Source organism: Homo sapiens, chromosome 9, assembly GCF_000001405.40.
Source record: "Homo sapiens chromosome 9, GRCh38.p14 Primary Assembly".
In the NCBI taxonomy this organism is placed as follows: Eukaryota; Metazoa; Chordata; class Mammalia; order Primates; family Hominidae; genus Homo; species Homo sapiens.
The window spans coordinates 89,919,365-89,941,264 of NC_000009.12; the positions used below are offsets into that span (position 1 = coordinate 89,919,365).

At 46.8% G+C, this 21,900-nt stretch overlaps 1 annotated feature.

Annotated features, from left to right (window-relative positions):
- Positions 1,812-1,981: an enhancer, noted in NCBI's record as "experimental_108797 CRE fragment used in MPRA reporter constructs". NCBI's record gives its function as "activates a minimal promoter by MPRAs in K562 erythroleukemia cells, with activity observed for both the introgressed and non-introgressed 9:92683543 variant alleles {active_cell/tissue: K562}" and the evidence as "EXISTENCE:reporter gene assay evidence [ECO:0000049][PMID:34662402]".

Here is a 21,900-nt window from a genome sequence, read left to right on the forward strand (position 1 = left end):
CTGTCTCCACCTGTGCAGTCCTCTTCCTACTTCACATCCCCTCCTCTCTTCCTGTGTCTGCTTGGGCACCCCGTCCCTCCACCCCAGACCTGTAGAGACAGAGCTGGGATGTCCTTACGTTGGCCTCTCAAGGTCCCTTAATATAGCCTCCCATAACCCTGACTCACAACCGCCACCTTTTGGTTCCTCCTACTCCATGGCATGCTGCTGTGGAGGCCAAGTCCCCAGCACTGCGTTCCCCAGGCAATGCTGAAGAAAAGGCCAGGGCTGCTCATCAAGGAAGGTGTTGTCATTAGGGCAGCCGTGGTTTTCCTAGGCAGCCAGACTTACCATGGGCATGTAGAGAAAAAGCACCAAGATCTTTGTAAAATTGACTTCCATTTTGTGTTAAAAGGCTTGTTATACCTATAAACAGTGATAACAACATATTTATACATGGGAATAAGACTTAAAAACAGACACAAACGGGCCAATCAACAGTATCATGGAACAATGTGTACTTTACAACACCATTCTTTTTTCAAGTTGAAAGCATGCAAACCTAAACAGTATATATTTTGAGGGATGTATATGCATGTAATAAAGATTAGAAAAGCAAGGAAATGATGACAAAATAAACATTTGAAAAATAAAATGGGAAGAGACAAGAGGCCAAGGACTGTGGCAAGGTGGAGTTTGGGTGGACAGCAGGGAATAAATGCCGGATTGGGTGAATGGGGAGTGAACTCTACCCACCGTACTGGCACAGAAACTGGGATGTGGGGATGCTAATGTGGCCGAGATCACATAGCTAGGAAGTGGCAGAGCTGGGATTCATGCTTAGGTTGGTCTGACTCTACAGCTCTTCATGTTGTTCCTTGATACCAGAGACAACATCAAGAAAGCCATGTGTTAGAACGAGCTCGTCTGGGGTGGAGGGCAGCAGGAGAAGAGAAGGCAGCTGGGAGGCCAGGTGGAGGGTGGCGGTGGCCAGGATGGAAATGGAGGAGAGGCTGGAAAGGCAGGAAGGAGCCCCAGGGAGTGTTGTCTGAGAAGCCTAAGTTGGGGCATGAGGAGGGAAAGTGTGTGAGTTGAATAGTGTCAAATGGAGCAGACGTCATAAGACTTTTGCTATGGACTGAATTGTGTCACTCCCAAATTCATATGTTGAAGTCCTAACTCCCAACATGGCTGTATCTTGACATAGGGTTTTAGGAGGTAATTAAGGCTAAATGAGATTGTAAGAGTGGGCTGTTGTCATGGGGTTAGTGTCCTTATAAGCGAGCTGAGAGCTTTCTCTCCCTCTCTTTCTCTATCCCCTCCCTTTTACCCCACTTCCCCACTTCACCACTTGAGGATAAGCAAGAAGACAGCCATCTGTAAGCCAGAAAGAGAGCCCTCACCAGAACCCCACCATGCTAGCACCCTGATCTGGGACCTCCAGCCTCCAGAACTGTGAGAAAATAATGTCTGTCATTTAAGCCATGCAGTCTATGCTGTTTTGTTCTGGAAGCCCAAGAAGACAAATACAGCCTCGTTCCTGGAATGTTGAAAGTGTCACTGGGGCGAAGATGGTATACAGCCTCTTATTTTGAACTCCCACTGTTCTAACATTCGTTCATGAAACATCTTTTGTGAATTGATGCCAGGCAAGTGGTATAAAAAGGAAAAGGCACCCGTCTTGTGAGTCCAGGCTGCATCCGCTGAAGCTGTCCCTGCTGGCGGCTGCAGTTCTCCTCACAGGGCGACCACATTCACAAACACCCTCAGGGCAGTGTCCCAGAAACAGAGCTTCCCAACTGAGATCTGTCCTACTTTTGAAGATGACTGCTGTATTGCTCAGGGAGGGAGAATTTTCAATCCTTGCAAAGCAAGACAGAAACAAAAGGGGTACTTGGCCTTCTCAACCGGTGTGCATGTACAGTATTTGAGGGCGCTACCTTTAGACAGCAGGGTGAGTGTGCAAAGGGATCCTCGTGTTGGAAGATGGGGGTAAAGGGGTATGAGTCTGAGTTCCTCCTGAAACACCAGCCTCTCTCAGAGGCAGCAGCGGAGCTCCGCGTATGCTGGCGCTCTCTTTCTTGCATCGTGTTCATGGATTTCTAAATTCCCTTGCTAATGGCAACAGAAATACCACCATCAAAACTAACGTCTCAAGGGTCCAAGGTTTCAATCACACAAAGCCCAGGTTATCATAGGAACATGGGGCAGGCAAGGAGGGGGCCCCTGGGGAGCCATCTTCATGTGTCCTCATTAAAATGAAGGGAGTCATTCAGAGATTTGACTGTGTTTGTCTCCTTCTACTATTTTTCTTTAAAAAGCTGTTTCAGTTAGAGTAGGAAGAGCAAGATACACTTATTTCTGAAATGGGTGCAAGAACTTTCAAATATGGAAACACAACACCTTTCTATTTTTTGAATTCTGCTTTTAAAACGGAAAAATACTTGTTCTTCTTGAGAATTGGGCTTTCTGCTTTGAAGGAGGTAATATCAAAGCAATATTTTATTTGCAAGTAATGAACTGTACTCTTTTAACTTGTTTTGCTAAAGCATTGCTCTTCTGGGTACTTCATAGTTAAAGTATTGTGCCCTCCCACCTACCCTGAAGTTTTTGCTAGTCTTTGTGCATGACATTCAAAATAACGTACTTCTGCCACTACAAGGTGTGAGCACACTTCTAAATGACAAAATGATTGAGTTATCATCAAGATATTGTTCAGTATAAACATCATTTTACTTTTCTAAACTTTTAAAAGTGGCCAACACATTCAGTCGCTGTATTATCTTTTGATTAACCCAAGTGCTCAGCTATCCATCGCATTCCACGAAGTCAGTTTGCAATTAATGAGCAGGACACAGTTTATCAGCATGCCTGAGAAAAGCGATTGTATCTGGATGTCCTCAGCCCTTTCCCCTCCAAATAGGCTGTGTGGTGAGTGCTCCTTCGAATGGTACAGATGGCCGGCCTGTTTATCCTCTCCTGCCCTTGCTTCGGGCCATGCCTAAGTGCCTCACCCCTGGCTGAGTGACATCAGGTCCAGCTGGAAGTGGGGCACCAAAATGCCTGCCTCACTGGAGCTTGGTGGTGTCTGTTTGCTCACCTGCAAGGCCAGCATGGCCTTTTATTAGAGGTCTCAGGGGGCTGGGGGAGGCCATAGCTCTTTGAATTTCTCTTATTAACTCTTCTTTGACTGGTTCCAAGTCAAAGACTTCTGCGTGCATATGTACACACACTGTATCACACACACCACACACTCACACTACCCATGGATATGCACACATACCACATACCACACACACATATGCACACACACACCACACAACACCACACACATATATGCACGGATATGCACACACACCACACTACACACATCATACACACACTACACAATGTTACACACACCTATACACACACATACACACACATGCACACATACTGCGCTACACGCACCACGCACATACATGCACACACACCGCACTACACACATCATACACGTACCACACAATACTATGCACACCTATACACACGCATATGCATATGCACCACACACACACGTTATACATCCCCCACATACATTTTCTCCACTTTTCTTGGCTGCTTCCCTGGTCCTCACCATCAAAGGAATTCTTGCAGTAGAGCCTGGAAGGCTTCTCCCAGGAAGCACCCACTTCCTGCAGGAGAGAGACTGTGAGAGCGCGCCAGCCTCCTCCCCAGCCCTACACGCTGCCATTCATCCTCTCAACACACTTGTGAGTGTCCCTGTTGTGCCAAGCACTCTTCCAGGTCCTTCCAGGAGGTGGGTGAGGGGCACTGATGAAAAAAATGGGCCTCAACCTGGAGTCATGAAGCTTGGGGGTTTGGGTGGGACACAGGAATAAGAAATGAACATATCTGTGAACACGATGACCAGGAATTACAGGAGGGAAAGAGCACCGAGGAGCCTGCAGAAAGAGGCCCTGGAGCCCGGAGCTGATGCCAAAGGCTGTCCAGGAGGAGCAAAGGAGCAGCCAGGAAGGCCCTGGGGCACAGCAAGAGTGTCCAGAGTGAAGCCCAGCAAGTGGGGAGGGCGGTTCATGCAGTGAGAGGAAGACTCTAGAGGTTTTATCTAGGCCGTATTCCTTCCCCCTTTGTGGAGATGGGTTGTGCAGGGGGTGTGGAGGGAGCTAGAAGCTCCGCATGCATGGAAGATTAGTGCTCACAGAGCCCCAGATAGAGGCCGAAATGCCCATGGTGGGTGAGGAAGAAGTTTGGAAGGGGAAGCCAGAGAGGAGACGATGCAGGGCTCGCACTGGAACCAGCTCAGTTGGATGAAAGAAAAAAGTAAAGAAAAACGGAGAGCTTGAGCTTAAGGTCATTTTTCTAACTTTCTGTGTTGAAATAACGTTGGACAGACAGAAAAGTTACAAGGATAGAGTTTCCATACATACTTTTTTCATGTCAAGATCTTGTATCAACACGGCCCATTGGTCAAATCTGAGGAATTATTGTGGGTAAAATACGATTAGCCAAATGGTAGACTTTGTTTGAGTTTCCCTATCTTTCCACTCACTCCCTTTTTCTGTTCCAGGATCCAGACCAGGAGCCTACATTTCACTAACTTGTCAGGACTCCCGTCTCTCCTCCAGCCTGCGACAGCTCCTCCGTCTTCTTTTGTCTTTTCTAACCTTGATACTTTTGACGAGTACTGGCCAGCTGTTTCGCAGGATTTTCCTCCAGCTGAGTTGGCTTGAGGTTTTCTCTGATTGGATCACAGTTACCGGTTTTCGGAGGAACAGCACAGAGGTGAACGGTCTCACTTATCACTCCACATCAAAGCAGGCATGACACCCACGTGACTCATTCCTAGGAGGCTGACCTTCACCTTTTGGTCTGGGCGACATCTGCCAGGTTTTTCCACTGTCTAGTGACTATTTTTTTCTTTTCCTTTTTTTATGTTTGTGAAAGTCCTGCCCACACTCAAGGGGCGGGAAATGAAACTACACCCCCTGGTGTAATTTGTGAGGTACATTAAAACCACCCTAGTAATAGGAAATGCTCACATTATGCTTTTGGTCATTGTTATTGAGCTAGTTATGAGGCTTCTTTTTCCCTCTGTGGGAAGATGACATTTTCACCCGTAATACCTTGTCACCCGTACCACTTTGGCAGTCTCAGTGAAGATACCTGCACCCTCTGGGTGAGGGGCTTCTGACTAGTGCCATGGATGCTTGCTCTACAGAGACCAGAGAAGACTCCAGTTAGGGAGAGCGGACTCGCTACGCTCAGGTGCCGCCCCTCTGTCTCCCAGCCTCTCTAAAATGACAAGAAAGGGACAAAAGCCTTATTAACTTATAGAGTGAAAGACAGCAGGGATAACCAAGGGTAAAGCATCACAACACATTTTGTAAGTGCCTCATCTGAGCAGATCCTGACCAGGAGTGTCCCCTCTCCTGCCACCCACTGGAAGGTGCAAGCAGACGGAGGTGGACAAAGCCCTGGGCTCATGGCAGGGCCCCTGCAGTATCTGCCTGGAGGACCTCAGGCACCACAGTTCCCTCTCCCATTCTGTATGCCCTGTGGCTACTCTGGACACAGTCCCCATAGGAGGTGGTAGTTGACTGGGGATGCCATAACAAAGTGCCACACACTAGGTGACTTAGAACAATAGCAATGGAGTGTTTTACAGTTCTGGAGGCCAGAAATCCAAGATCCAGGTGTTGGCAGGGCCCCACTCCCCGTGAAGGCACCAGGACTCTCTCTGCCCAAGGCCTCTCTCCTACCTTCTGTTAGTTCCTTGGCTTGTGGCAGCAGAGCTCCAATCCTTACATGGCATTCTCTACGTGTACGAATGCATCTATGTCCAAATTTCCCCTTTACATAAGGATATGAATCATACTGGATTGGGGCCCACCCTTGCAATCCTATCTTAAATAATTACCTTTGTAACAGCTCTATCTCCAGATCTACACACACACTCGGAGGGACTTGGGGGTTAGGATTTCAACCTGTGAATTTTGGAGGGAACGTAATTCAACCTATAACTAGGTGGGATGTTTACTTGCTGAAGGAACAGACAGTCCCACTAGGCTGGGAATGGTAGACCCAGAGAGGGCTGGAGGGGAGCTTTGGGGCTAAAAAGACAGATTACATGCAAGCCAGCCTCCTGAACCTGGGACCCTCAGCTCTTCTTCCCACTCTGCTTCCACAGGTCTACCCTGCCCTCACCTGGGGAGAAGTGTGGAGGACTCCTCCTTGGAGAAAGTGAAAAACTCCCAGAGAAAACATTGGCAGGAATTGGCATTGGATGGGTCCTGGCTTGAGACTAGCTCCCATTGCATCAGTCTGCAAGCCCTCTGCTATTTCTACCTCCCCACCCAAACTCCAATCCACACTTACTTTAATGTCCCATTCTGCAATGTGAGTGGGCAGCGGAAGGTCACCAGAAGCTGTAGAGAAAGTCTTTACATGAAAGACAGACACTAAGGGGTAAAATCGCAAAGCAGGTATGCAAAAGAAACAAAAATAACCAGGGGGCTAAATAATCGAAAAACAATATTTTATGTTCTCAGATATCAAAGATGGTATTGCATCTGTAGAGAAGGAAAAATGTACTAAATAAAATTACTAAGTATTGGTCTAGAGGGTTGGAGAGAATATAGATATTTTTTAAATACGAAAATGAGATTTATCTATCAATCATCTATCTACCTATGTCATTCATCTATTTATTAATCCTCTATCTATCTACCATCTACTTATATACATATTCATTCATCACTATCTATCCATCTGTCTTTTTGCCTGAGTACTTTCTTTGAAAACTACTGGATAATGCACTTCAGTAAAATAAGGGAGAAAACTAGATAACATGGAATTCTGGAAACAGAGGACCCAATACAAGAGAGAGATGAGGAAGGCTCAAAAGTCTCTAAGAAAAAAAAAAGCTACTGTATTTGAGTACTTGGAAGTGTGTTTAGGCATTTAACAGATGCGTTAAAATTTTTAGAAATGTTAGCAAGAAGCACGTGGAAAACTGAGCAAACAAAAGCCCAAGGCAATTTTTAACTCCAGGAAAAACAAACATAGAGTGGTGTGAGAGAGGAGGCATTCTCATGGCAGACCACTGGCCTCGGTGGGGTACGATCAGCACCTCACATTAATAACGTAAACTCTGCCTGTGGGGAGGGGAGGCAAAGAGGTTGGGGTTGGGGTGATGTGAAGGAACTGACTTTGCACCTTTCTTAACAGAAAACCAATAAGATACTCTAAAATATTGAAAAATCAAGAAATAGCAGAATAGTATATTACAGAGATATGCAGAAATAGATACCAGGGAAAATATATCTTTAAAAGTTGAAAGTGCTTTCCTCTATGAAGCAGGGAAGGTTTGGGCACTGGGCCCAACACTTTTTTAACATCAGCTACTTAGAACTCTTTGCTTTCACTGTGTGGACGTACTTTGCTAAATGTAGAAGCATAACTTTACAGCAGAAAGGCGGGGAGAAAAATGTGTACACACAAGCTTGCGGAGGCTCACAAAAAGGGAAAGTCTTTCTGGCAGGATTTTGTGTTGACTTTTTGTAAGCGTGATCAGCCCATGGAGTTTTTCCTGTATGCTCAGAACTGGGAGGAAATCTTCCTGCTCCTTGGAGCCCTACCTCTCCAACTGTCAGCATCATCTTGGAATTATCTTTGTAGCAGGAAGCTTAGGGCACTAACACCTTGCCCTCCTGGTTCCCAAGGTGGGAGGTGGGTGAGCGACAGCTATGCTTCTCCCTGCAGAGGAGGCAGCGCAGGGGTGCTGGGAGCACCTGTCAATGGGTGAGAAAGGAAACGGTGTTTCTCTGATGCTTTTGATTGAGCTGCAGCTCTCTACTATGCTACTTAATTGACAGCAGCTGTTATAAAGCTTTAGCTTCTAGGATAAGGGACAACTTGTAAATTTCAGTGTCTACTGTGAATCTTATGGCTCCATCACTCTTCCTCTCTCCCATCTGCATTTACTCACCAGTGTGTCTATGCCCCACACTTTAATCACCCGTCAGCCTTCCTGGAATGGATGTCTTCAAGCCCTCCTGTTTGGTGTTCTCAATCAGGATGTCCTCTGACTGTCCTCCCCACTGAGGACAGACAACATTAGTCAGGACCAGAGGGATTTTATGGAGACATGGGGTCTCCACTTACTAGCCTGCCAACTTCCCCTTCCCAAACTCACTGTGGAAAGTAGGGCCGCTGTAGACCAGTGACACGCAGGGGGTTGGCTTGGGGAGAAAGGGTAAGGAGAGCGTGAATGCCACTGCTGGTTGATTGGAATGGCTGGACTGGAGATTTGCACCAGAATGAGGGAGTTGTGCAGATGCAGAGCAGATTTTGTGCCTGACATCCACCCAGTTAGAAGACAAAGAATCATGGTGCCGTTTTAGGCAGCAATGTGATTCGTGGAGATCTTTGTGCTCTTGCTCTTTCAGGGTTTGGGAATTCTGGATCCTGGCCATCTCTTCTTCTTTTCAGAGTAACAGTGGATATATTTTGATTTTACCTAGCTAGTGTTGCAGCGAAGCCTTAGGATAACACTAAATGAAGCATCCTTTAGCCAAAGCAAACAATCCTTTGGATGTCCTTTCAGAGACTACACCACATCAAATGAAGTGAAACCCCAGACCTTTGGAACACTCACCATTTTTCAAATTCAAGCCTATTTTGAAAAATTAATAAAATGAAGCCTTTTAAAAAGACCCCAAGGAAACCATGGAGTTGGTAGCTTCAGCAGATTGGCAAAGATGGACTGCACAAAAAGAGAGATGCTGGAAGGCATAGGAGCTGCCCGGTGGATAGAGTTCTAGACATGGGTTCCTGGGGGCCTCTCCTGGCTGGCAGCATGGGCAGGTTTTTGCCCTCCTAGACCTTCAGGACTTGGAAAAGCAAAGACATCTCTGGGCCAGCTGGAAGCAACTGTATCTGGGTACAGACCAAGCAATGTGGGAGTGCAAGCCACACAACCATCTGGGCAAGAGGAGTCCAAGTCAGGGGACCCAACTTCAAGGAGCCTGCAGTTTTGGACACTTGCTTTAGGAACTGTGGGGCAGCATGAGCCTGGGAGGGATGGCAGGGAATGTTCACACTTAGGGGGCTGGTTTGGGAAAGCCCAACACTCCCACACAGTCTCTTCTCCAACTCATTGGAGGGCTTGGAGTCACATCAGTCAGGGCTCAATCAAGAGAGCAAAGCCCCAGTAATGGTCATGGAATAAGGGTTTCCTATAGGTACCAGGAATCCCACACTTGGGGCAGAAGATGGGGAAGTGAAGGCATGAAGAGAATGTTGGAGAATTAGGAGAGTCGCCAAGCAGACCTCATGAACCACTGGCATGGGTGGCCGAGTCAGAGCTTGCAGGGAAATCTGGGAAGCTGGGTGTGCCCAGATGCAGGAGACCACCAAGCGGTGCTGGTGGAGGAGTCTATGGAGAGCAATTGCCTCTGCAGCTACCACTACTGGGCAATAGATGTTTGTGGGTGGCCTGGAGCTGCCAGGTGGTGGGAAGAACCAGATACAGAGCAAAGGAGTGCAATGACGAGCTGCACCCACCAGCCCCTCCATACCTGTCCACCAGAGACATAAGCTGCCCCACCCTGCTTCCAGACCTTAGGCCAGTGTCCATTTTTGGCCAACTCTGTCCCCAGTCCATGCAGGAAAGGATTCCAGGAGACCAGTTTTCAGCTCAACCAAACTGAGCATAGAACAGCGCAGTCCAGAACCATGGCCCTCCGCAGTAAGGGGCTGATTCTGGCACCCAGCCCAGCTGTCCTCATAAGCCAGGTGGTCTGCATGCTTGTCCTAGATAGTTCTAGACTGACAAAGAGCTTTTGAGTCTCAGCTAAAGGTCCTTTTCACAAAGCAGGCAGGGGCAAACATTCAAATTCCAGCCTCCCAGAAGCTTTCCCAGACCTTTCCACCATGTAGCCCACTATTCCTGAATAACCCTTTGGGTTGCCTCTCTGAAGATTTGAGGCAAAAGTGATAGGTGGTCTTCTCCTATGCATCTCCATGCATTGGGTGACACAGGCACTTCTAGGGTGGTCATGGTGAAAGTGTCAGCAAGGACTCAAAGGCTCTGAAAAGTGGGTCTTCAGACAGAAACCCAATCAAACAAAGCAAGCCACCAGTGCCCCGGCCCAGCCTGTGGAATGCTGTCCAACCTCTTTCACTTAGGAGAGACAGGACAAGCTGTAAGCGTTCATATGCCAGCCTGGAGTATGGGGTCAGGGGTCTTGCTACTTATTAAAGATAGTCTCAGGAGAATGAGGAACAGAGGTTTGCTGTAAACTTCAGCCTTCAGGCCTTACGGGTAATTTGTTATACTGGGGAGGTCAATGGTCTAGCTCCTGCTTTGATCACAAGCAAAGGCTTCCAGATTGTTACTTATACCAGCAGTTGATTTATTACATCCAGGCTTGAAGTGTCAATGGAAATCCAACCTGAGCGGGGGCTGGGGAAGGGAGCAGGGGCTGGGGAAGGGAGCAGGGGCTGGGGAAAGGAGCAGGGGCAGAGGAAGGGAGAAGGGCTGTTTTAGAGTGCAAGTCCACTGCTCAGTCATCCCACAGTTTTGCACAGCCTGGCTGCGATTTCTGCAATATTCCCTCTGAGACACTCAATCTCTGAATATGGTCACGAATTTGCAACATTTGTGATTCATAATAATGAATCACAAATTCATGATGATGTTAATTTATTTGCTGAAACAGTAACGTCTTTTATGTTATTCTTGGTGGAAGCTGATGCCCAGGTGCCTCCCACCTCTGGCCACAAGTTCCTGGTTGCCAAATGGAAAAGGAGACACTGTAGGAAAAAAATAGGGCCAGATATTTACAGCTGGTCACAACACACAGGATATACACACATATCTGTCTGCTCCCCCTCCCTCCCCTACTGCTGCACAGTCTAGGGGCAGCTGTGTCCCATTGAAGCTATTTTTATACCCACTTCCTGTTCCTGGCAGTCATCCTTTGTGATTTCCTTGTTGTCTGCGTTTGTGGAGCCTTAGCCCCTAAAGGGTATGGCACAGACAGCAGCGGGAAGGACACCGGGCGGAAATCATCACACAGATCTTCCTCCGTCTGTCTCAGCACCAGGGTGCTTCCTCTGCCTCTTAGAAACCAGCAGCCACCCTGAGGCTACTACTTTTTCTATGTTATTGACGAAGACCCTGGTTTCACTCTGATAACTTTTGGTACAAGTGGTGCATCTTTCTTCAGGTATAGGGCCTGTGGAGTAAGGTCTGATTGGGCAGGTGATGGAGAGCCGGGCATAGATTTGCACTGACCTGCTTCGATGCGTTGTTGACAGTACATCCATCCATTCATTCATTCATTCCATTAGTCTTTCTTGCATGTCTAGTATACATCAGGACTTTTTGTGGAGGAAAAAGCAGCAAAGCACAGAAACCTAATCCCAGCCCTTAGGCGGTGTGCAGAGAGTTGGTGAGGCCAGCAGTTACAATGCCACTTCGTGAGCATAAGGCTGGGGCCCATAGGAAGCAGAGGCTGCGTGGAGAGAAAGCTGAAGCATCCATGTGTGGACTGAGAGAAGAAGGGACATGAGGGAGGGAAACTATGCTGGGCAGAGAAAATGGCCTCTCCACAGGCCAAGGAGCAGAATGTGGCTGAGAATGGAGTATGAGTGGCCGGCCTGGGGAGGAAGAGGCTGTGCTAGGGGCATGTGGAGCTATTAATGTCTGTAATGGCCTGGTGACACGGTAAGATTCTGTGTTAGAAAAATCCCTCTGCGCACACCATGGAGCATGGACTAGAGAGCGGCAGGTCTGGGGCAAGGTGGCCTAGTGGTAAGCAGGCTGCCAGAGGGGTCCCTGGCATCAGGTGAAACCTGGGCGAGGACAGAGGCCGGGCAACGTGGTGGAGAGATGGCAGCAGGAAGAGGTGCAGGAAGGGGAGAGGACAGAGCTGCAGAGCATGGGGAGAGTGCAGGCATGGGGTGAGAGGGGGAGGGAAGAAAGAGGGGAGTCATCATGAAGCTCAGGCTTCCTGTTTGGGGTGCCTCTACATTTTCTATCACTCTCAGTACCTCTTGAGGGGTTCTAGTCTCCACAAGGCCCTAAAGTCTCACCTGGGTTTCAGGTCTGGAATACCAGTAAAGCCCACACGGACTCCGAGAGTCTGCCTTGGTTTGTCTGTTTTGTGAGCAAGAGTGCCATCACCTGCACGACCCTCCTCCGAGGAGAGGCAGAAAGACCACAGTGCAGGTAAATTCAAATTTTGCCTACGTGGGAGGGAGAATCCTCTGCACAGCGGCTTTTGGCATGACTGCTCTTGGAATTAAAACTTGGGTTGCCTTAAGAAGGAACAGTATGGATTGTATTAAAATGTACTTTTTGGAAGGCAGGTGTGAGTGAAACAGCACCTACTGTATGATTGCCTTGATGTAGCACACACAGGTCGAGTGAATCCTGCTGTTGAAAGTTTGAAGAGCAGTTCCCCTTGGGTTAGTGATGAGAAGGGGCCGTGAGGGGCTTCTGGGAGCTGTAAATGTCCTGTTTCCTCTGGTGCAGGTTTCACATGTGGGGTTAGTTTGTGAAAATTCAGTTATACTTTTCCATATATATATGTGCACACAAAACACTTCAATACAATTTTTTTCCCACAAGACAACATTGGAAGTCTCTGTGGGAAGACTTGCGTTGCACAGGTGTGTGAGCAGGGGGAACCATCCTGACTGAGGAAGACGGCGTGACCTGCGTGGGTCTGTGGACACAGCAGAGGCCTAGAGCCTGCTGTGCCAGGGGCTGTGCTGGAACAAGGCTCGGGTGGGGTGTGGCCTGCTCTGGAGCTGGGGGACTGAGCCCCCACCCTGCTTCTCTCCTCTGACCCTCCAGGGGCCTCCATGCTGCAGAAGTCTTTGTTGACGCAGGATCCAGAGGTTACAGATTCAAGTCTCATAAAAAGAAGTTCAAACAGAGCCATTGCCCATTTCCAAAAAGGCAAAGGAAGTGGCTGTCTCTCTGAAGCAAAGCTTTCCTCCTCTTCCAACAATGCAACCCATAGAGCTTCTCAGGGAACACAGCAAGGAAAGGATTTCTAGCTAGAAATGGTCAAGACTTGATTTAATTACAACTTAGAAATAGCATCTTTCAAGAGAAAAAGTGGTAACCTTCTGGAAAGAATTCATCATTTAGACGCCATTAAGAACATTCATGATTCATGGGAGGTGGTCAAAATATCATAAATATGAGTTTGGAAGAAGCTGATTTCAACCCTCATAAATGACTTTGAGAGGTTCAGGACTTCGGGGGAGGAATACACTACAGAAGTGGTGGAAATAGCAAGAGAAAGCCTGTAATCCCAGCACATTGGGAGGCTGAGGTGGGAGGATCACCTGAGGCCGGAAGTTCGAGACCAGCCTGACCAACATGGAGAAACCCTGTGTCTACTAAAAATACAAAATTAGCCGGTTGTGGTGGTTCATGCCTGTAATCCCAGCTACTCGGGAGGCTGAGGCAGGAGAATCGCTTGAAACCGGGAGGTGGAAGTTGCTGTGAGCCAAGATGGCGTCATTGTACTCCCGCCTGGGCAACAGGAGCGAAACTCCATCTCAAAAACAAACAAGCAAACAAAACCAAAGAGGTTGGAGCCTGAAGATGGGACCGAATTGCTACAACCTCATGACCAAACCTGAATGTATGAGAAGTTGCTTCTTATGGCTGAGCAGGATGATGGAGCAGGATGAGGAACTGAAGCTTCTCTGGAGTGGAAGATAAGGTCTTTGGAGATAAATGCAAGGGCACCAAGAGACGGGTGGCAGTAGGAGTGCTGAGTTTATGTGAGACAATGGTGGGAGAAAAGGACTCTGAGGCAGGTTTCCTCATCCTGAGCGGGTGGGAAAGCCCAGGAAAGGATGGGCCTCTGCCCCCAGTAGGAGGTGAAGAGGGTGGTAGGGATGAATGGGATGGAAATCAAAGGTCCAATGGAATGGGAGTCAAAGGCTTCCTAGAGAGGCTGAAGCATAAATAAGCATCTGGAGGAGCAATGAAGCTTCTGCAAGGAGAACTCCAACTCCATCTCTGGATCCAGGGCTGTGGGCAAGGAACCTGAGCATCTACAGGTCCTGGAGGTAGGTATTGGGTAAGTGGGTCCTCAGGGAACAGCTGATGTGAGATAGGGAAGAGGAGAGAAAGTCCACAGAGGAGAGAAGTGCCTGCAGTATGGAGTAGTTTGCTCATGATGAGGGCAAGCACACATGGGGCTTTGGAGAAGGGAAAGAACATTGCATTCCAAGTAAGGACGTTTCTTTTCTTGCCCGTGCTTTGCAGAGCTGTGACAAACACAGTTGTGAGGCAGATGGTTTTGCCCAAACCTTCTCCTTGATTTCGAGCCATGGCACATTTCTAGTGAGGCAGCACCAACAGAACCCAGGGGTTTGCTCTCTGACCAAGTTGTCCTCAAAACAAAAGAGTAGACTGAGCTGGCCTTAGCACATGCTGGTACAAAATGTTTCTGTTTTGCTAGCAACATGGGTCATTGGCCACCAATGCTTGTGCTTGTGCCAGCTTAAATGCACTTACAGTACTTGTTATTTTTGTTATTTTTTTATTGCCAGAATATCAAAAGACTTTGGTATTCACACAGCATTCGTGTTGGAGATTGAAGGTCACTTTCTGACTGCTGACAAGTGGCCAGGTATGAAGAAGCGTTTCCAAAAAGGGTGTTTTGGGAGGGGGAAATGTTTCTGGTCCTTTCCCTGTGAAACTTGGGATGAATGAATCACATTCCTATTCTCCCCCTTGAGTGGTCCAGGTCTGGCCGTAACCACGTACAGACAGGTGGGGCCCTGCTGTTAGACATAATTTGGTTGGTAATGGATATGCACAGCTCCTTCTTCAATCTCAGAACCTCAGATGACAGATTGAAATGCAGGTGTGCGGACTCAGAGAGAAGGTGATCCTTCTGCAGGCCTCTTTCTGGACAGTGTGTTCTCCTCCATGTAACTTGGCCCCAGGAAGAGGGACCAGGTGAAGGGTGCTCCAGGGCAGCCGGACTCCCACCCAAAATGCTCGTTAGCCCTGCTGTGCTCTGCATTAGTGACTGTATCTTCCCAGCCTTGTCTGTCTCCCTGTCATCACTGGCTGTTTTAGCTCTAAATGCCTCTTGCTTTTTTGCTCCAACCCCTTATTGTAAGAAAGCCTTGATTCCTTGAGCATAAGAGGAATAAGACACATTTGAAGGGAGGGAAGGAGAGGGAGAGGGTGGGGAAAAGTGACGGCAATATGAGGTTGGCTGCTGATGCATGTTTCCGTGAGGTATGTTGGAAATATCTTTCTCCAAACTCCAGATTCAAGGTCATATCACCATGTCATCCGTGGTCAGGAGTTTAGAACCCACAACCTGAACCCTGACTTTGCCAGCTTGCATGTCATGGGGCCGTCCTCTGCTCAGCCCTCCCAGGGGCTCAGCCCACTCTGGGAATACCCCGGCCCCAGCTGCCCTTTTGGCCATGATGACCCTGGACAGCGAGCCCTTCTTTCTTGCATAGGGTGCCAGGCACACTTGTTGGAATCCAGGCGGAGGGTGACTGTTCCCTTCTCCATCTCTCGACATAAATATGGACTGTACCTGATCACACCTGGCAGGAAGGCGTGTGCTTTGAGGTTGGCAGCTGCCCAGTATGGCACAATATTTGTTGTAGGAGACAAGAGACCTGTTGGGTCCAGGTAAAATGTGCACTAACAGGGAGCCTGGTCAGACAATGGCCCCACTTTCAAAGTCTATTTCTAACTCAAAGGGAGAGTTACAGTCAATAGAAAAGCTTTCACAATGGCCCCTTGCTTTAATGTCGCTTCCTCTACAGTCCTTTGTGAAGTTGGTCAAGGATGCTGGAGGCTGGAGCTGCCTGCATTCTGGCTGTGCTTTGCTTTGTCAGCCCAAGCACTCGGAGAGGTTCTCCGACGAGCACCACTTGTTTGTATAAACTCTGTAGCTGGGAAATGGGGGACAGTTCAGAACTGGAGTGTCAAAGCCAAGAGGAATGGAGAGCCCACTTCAGACACTAGTCGTGGTAGACATTGTGAAGCCAGGAAAGCGAAGTGTTGAGAACACTGCAGGCCATGCAGACTGCATCTTGCCTGCCTAAGATCACATGGACTGGGCAGAACTTGGACTTGAGCCCAGCTCTTCTGAAACCCAGTTGTTGAATTTCCACCTTAGCTCCTATTTCTCTGGTGCTTCGTCGCTTCCCAAGTACATCCACCCAATCATCCCACCTAATCATCAAAGTCACAAAAACCAGCCCAGGATATGCACCCACATTCCTACCTTGGTTGGCAGTGTGTTCTACTCCAAGTCTGTTTCTTCCTATTCCTTGTCTTCAGAGTGACTGAGGGTGTTATAAAATGTCTCCATCTCATACTGGGAATGACAAAGAACATGGGACAGGTCCCTACAATGTTTGGATGATTGATGTGTTCTGTTTCCTTAATTCTTGCTTCCTGGTGGCTCAATGCTATGGCACCACTAACCCTGTTGGATGCCGTAATGCCCGAAGCAATGTGTGTACTGGGAATACGAGTTTAAGAAACAGACATTCTCTCCATCCCTGGGCATCAGTATCTACACACAGTTTACTAGCCTCTGAATCAGCTTCTCATTTGAACTAGCAGAAAGGCATCCCCTGGATAAATCAACACTGTCAGTGAGCCAGGGAACAATTCTCAATTGACCTACTTTCACTCAGGGTGGAACCCTTATTCCTAAACCTTGGGTTGAGGCTTGTGGATAAAGAAGAATGCACACATGAAACTAACTTTTTATCAGCCTAAAACTGAAACGAACTTGGGTTTTATATTTGGAGGAAGTCAAATGCTCTGATGAAAAGAAGAAATGGAAATTGAGCATAATTTATCACAAAATAGGCAAAGACATAGAAGGATGCTTTCAGGCTTTTATGAAAGCAGCTGGGCTGGATTCAGAGGACAGAGGAGTATAACAGACAAGGGGATCAAGAACCTGCTCACTCCTGAGAAAGCACCCAGCAGCTCTTCTGTGTTCTTTGTTCATCTGTTGAAGAGGCTGCCCCCTCAGCCTAGTGCAAACAACTCAGGCCATGAGAGAAAGAAGGGGGTGGGCAACTCTGTCCATTCTGAGCTGACTTGCCTGCTGGGAGGAAGGCACACCATAAGAACTCACTGGGGCCCTTGAATGATCCAAATTTTGGATATTGATTGAGAATGCTTCAGAAGATTGCAGATCTTCCAGATCTTCCAGAACTGTGGGAGCTTTGCTGGAAACTGCAGGTTGAGGGAAAAGGTCTCTCTTTTGTTGATGAAAGGTTATTATTCTTAAGAATTAGTGAGGTTAGGGCCGGGTGCGGTGGCTCACACCTGTAATCCCAGCACTTTGGGAGGCCGAGGAGGGCGGATCATGAGGTCAAGAGATCGAGACCAACCTGGCCAACACAGTGAAACCCCATCTCTACTAAAAATAACAAAAATTAGCTGGGCGTGGTGGCATATGCCTGTAGTCCCAGCTACTCAGGAGGCTGAGGCAAGAGAATCACTCGAATCTGGGAGGCAGAGGTTGCAGTGAGCCAAGATTGAACCACTACGCTCCAGCCTGGCGATAGAGCAAGACTCTGTCTCAAAAAAGGAAAAAAAAAAAAAAAGAACTAGTAAGGTTAGTTGGTTAGTTAGGTCAATGTCACTGCCTTATATTTTCTCACTGGTTCTTCCTAAGGTCAAAGTGCCAAGGATCCCAAGTCTCTGAGATGGATCTTTATGTGAAGCAACTACAATCACAGAGCTTCTGGATTCCTCTCACTATTTGTTCTTACTACAGAGGGGCTGTCATGGAGTAGTTTTCTTCTTTTCAAGCACCTGAGTGAGCTTAAGAAGTGGGTGAAGGGTGTTTGGCAGCCAGGCTTTGCTCTTTCACAGCCCTCCATGGTAGACAGGTCAAGCGGACCTTGCTCCCACGATTTTTAAAATTGTGATCCTATGTCCCTCTTGAACCAGTTCTTAGCTAAATGGTTAGCATATTCCTGGTGCAAGGTGCATGTTCACTGAATGCTTGTTTTGCTGGTTAAAACAGACTTAACATCAAATCATTTTAGGACATTTAAAAGTACTGAATTATTTATCTGAAAGAAGAAGGAGCTTAATATTTGCATAAGAGAAGGACAAAAAATGGTCCAGAAGTATGTCAAAGAGCCGTGGCAGAATCATCACTCTTTTTTAAGGCACTATCTGGTTTATGAATCTTCTGTGTCTGTTGGGGTGGAGGAGTTGGGCAGACACACAGGGCTTTTAGCTAAGAGTGACCTCTGCCTGGTCTCCTGATCAGGCCATTCACTCTCCCAGGCTCTTGTATTTTGCTTTACCCTCCCTATTTGCACCTTCTACACACATGATTTTGGATTTTAAGATCTGATTTTCCACATACTTTGAATTTGTGTGGTTCAAAAGTTTATGACTTTTTGACCAAATTTGGAAATTGAATAGATAATCTTGCCTATCCTACCACTTTGTAAACTTATTAATTACCTTGATCTTCCATGTTAGGCATATTTAATGTATTTTTAATCACTTAGTAGAATTGTCTAATACAGAAAAATAAAAAGAAGAAAACAACAAGAGTGAGCTACTGCCCAGACAAGGCTTATTAATTACAAAAGAAAAATTGTGTTACACTGACTGTAAAAAAAATTGTGCTAACTTTCTTATTTTTGCTATGCTTTCTGAAATAGTTTAAATGCACCAAAATATTCTGTTACTTCAAACATTAAAAAAATTCACCTGTGACACTGGGTAATCTTGGTGATTTTGGGAAGGGGTAAATAATTCTTTAACACCATAAAAAGTACCTTTTCCTGGTGTTTTTCAGTGTCATTTTGAGGGGTTATTTTACCAGGTCCTTGGGCACCTCTGTGCAACTTTGTCTCTCTAATGTCATGAGGTCAGCAAGAATATAACTCAGATTCTAAACTCTTGCTTCCAGACTTTGAAATTTCCCCAGGACAAAAATTAGCTTCAAGTGCTTGACTCAATTTGCTAGATTCCAGAACTTTCCTGGATTTCAGTTGGCTAATTTCTCACCATCTACTTAGCTGTTTACTGCCTTTAAGCCTTTATAGAGAGATAGATATTGATAGAAATAAATATTTATGGATATAGATGTAGACATATGTATTTACATATAGATATGGATGGATGAGACATAGATTGGCATTTTCGGGTTGTTTCCAACAGAAGCGTTGGTCTAAATTACCTGGTCTGCCATTACCCAAAAATGAGAGAGTAAATAAGAAGGTTAACAAGTTTTTTTTACAGTTAATATAACGTGATTTTCTTTTTTTACTTGTGTATATTATCTACTGTTGCTCTTAATTAATTTATTAACTCTGTAAATGGTGGCTTAAGCCTCAATTTGGTGCCTTATTTCCAAATTCTCACTTCTTTTAAAAAGAAATCCCTTATGTGAAACTTCTATTAATAACTAAATTCACATTCCCTTATTTTTTTTCACCCTGCAGTTCAGAACGCTCGAGGAAACTTCTTGTTTTCAGTTTGTGTTTTTTTTCATTCCTTTCTTTTTTTCACCCTGCAGTTCAGAACACTCGAGGAAACTTCTGTTTTCAGTTTGTGTTTTTTTCCAGATTAGATTGTTTTGTTCTTCACAGTTTTTTTGTCTTTCTTTGCCCTTTCTTACTTTCCTGTTTCCTTTCCTGCAGAAAGCTTAAATAAATGGTGTGTTGGAGCTGCTTCTCTCCACACTGGGGATGAAAATATTATTTTTCATGATGTTGTTGATTCACAAAGTAGAAAGTTGCCTTGGACTTCACAAACCAAACCTGGGCAGGTCTTTGGAAACCTCCGTTCTTTTTGCTCCGTTGTCCCCTTTCTCTCAGTCTCTGCCTCTTTCTTCCCTTTCTGAAGTCATTTGTTGTTCATAGCATTAGGTTAGGAGGTCGGGTTTCTTATATTCTTATCTCACAAGAGCAAATTACTAATGGGATGTATTTTAGAACGTGGGGGAAGGGGTACTTGGACCACAAACTTTATTATGATACACTGGGCTTCTTCTGACACAGAAACTGCTGGGTCATGCTTCTAACATGCCAAAACAGAGTTTCTAACATTCGCCCCCAGGATCTGGAAAGCAGTCCTCATAAAATCAATGAGACTTGTCCTTTCCTTCTCTCTCCTCTCGGCCTAGTCAAGTCCTGTCCTGTTCAAAAAGTGCAGTCAAGACTTCCCCTGCAACCGTAAGCTTCGGGAATGTCTTAGATGCTACAGTTTCTCTGGTTCTCCTGTGTCCAGACCCTTTTGGCCCTTTGTTCTCAGAATCAATCAAGTCTGCCCTCGGCTATGCCCGGCTCTGCTCATCTCTAGTTTCCTTCAACCAACTCCTTGGTGGTCTGCACCCAGTCCTACGCTTCTCTAACCCTATGACAGGCAGCCTCTGGCTTGGCCCAGTCATCCTCAACTCCGGATGCTCATACTCCTGGGGTTCCTTCCCCACGAGGGTGGGCAGGACCTATGACTTAGCGCTAATAGAATGTGGTAAAAGGAAAGAGATGTCACATCTGCTATTAGATTATAGAAAGACTGTGACTTTCCTCTGTCTCTCCCTCTCTGCACCTACCTCTCCCCTAAAGTCTTCACAGCTCACCTGCTCTACTGAATCACACTGCCATGTTATGAGTTGCCCATGTGGAAAGGGGCTGATGTCTTTTGCCAACAGCCGTGAGAACCCGAGCACCTGCCAGCACCCACATGCGTGACCTCGGGAGCAGATCCTCCTGAGGAAAAGCCTCGAGATGACTGCAGCCTGGGCCCACACCTTGACTGTGGCCCTGTGAGCGACCCAGGGTCAGAGACACCCAGCTAAGCCACACCCAGACTCCCGACCCACAGAAATCAGGATATAATAAGTGGTTGCTGCTTTAAATCGCTAAGTCCTGGAGGCATGTTCCACCCAGCAATAGGTAACTAATACAACCTCTTGTGGAATTTTTCCTCCATCTCCTCTGGGTAGCACGTTAGAATTGTCCTGGGGCAGGAGATTGGTTAAAATACACACGTTTGACAATACCCTTAGAGGCGCCAGCTGATGAGTCTGGAGTGGTGTCTAAAAATCTGCCTTTTTAAGCAGCATCTGGGACTTCTGATGGTGGTTCAGCAGCAAGCACAGAGAAAGCCTATCTAGAATGGCTGGAACCACCGCACTCTGTTACAGTTCATTTTTGCCAAGTGGCTAGGGTAGAGAAAAGCTTCATTTATGGTCATTCAATATTTATAAAGTAATTACTAAGCAAAAGTACCATGCCACTCATCATAGATTATATTTTCCAAAGAAGTCTGCAACAATTTCTCTTGTCTCATGTGCTCTTCTGCAAGGTGACCTTGACATTCCTCATCAAGAGGTGAAGCCTCGTTCTCATCCCCTTGAATCTGGACTCGCCTCGTGACTCACTCGTGACTAACAGAATGCAGTGGAATTGGTGCTGAATGACTTTCATGGCTCAGTCAGGAAAGCCATGCTTCTGCCTGGTTCTCTGAAGACCAGGACAAGCCACAATCCATGTAGGAAGTATGATTACTTTAAGATCACCATGCCATGGGTACACACTGTAGTTGACAGCCCCAGTCCAGCTGCACCCAGCAGCCTGTGCACCTGCCAGCCATGTGAGCAAGACATCGTGCAAGGACAGCCCACCAAGCCTTTGGATGACATCTGATGGTCACCCATGAGAGGCTCTAAGCTAAAGCTTCCCAGCCAGCTCTTTTCAAATTCCTGACTCACAAATGAGCAAAATAGGCTGGGCAGGGTGGCTCACACCTGTAATCCCAGCACTTTGGGAGGCCAAGGTGGGTGGATCATTTGAGATCAGGAGTTCAAGATGAGTCTGACCAAAATGGTGAAACCCCATCTCTACTAAAAA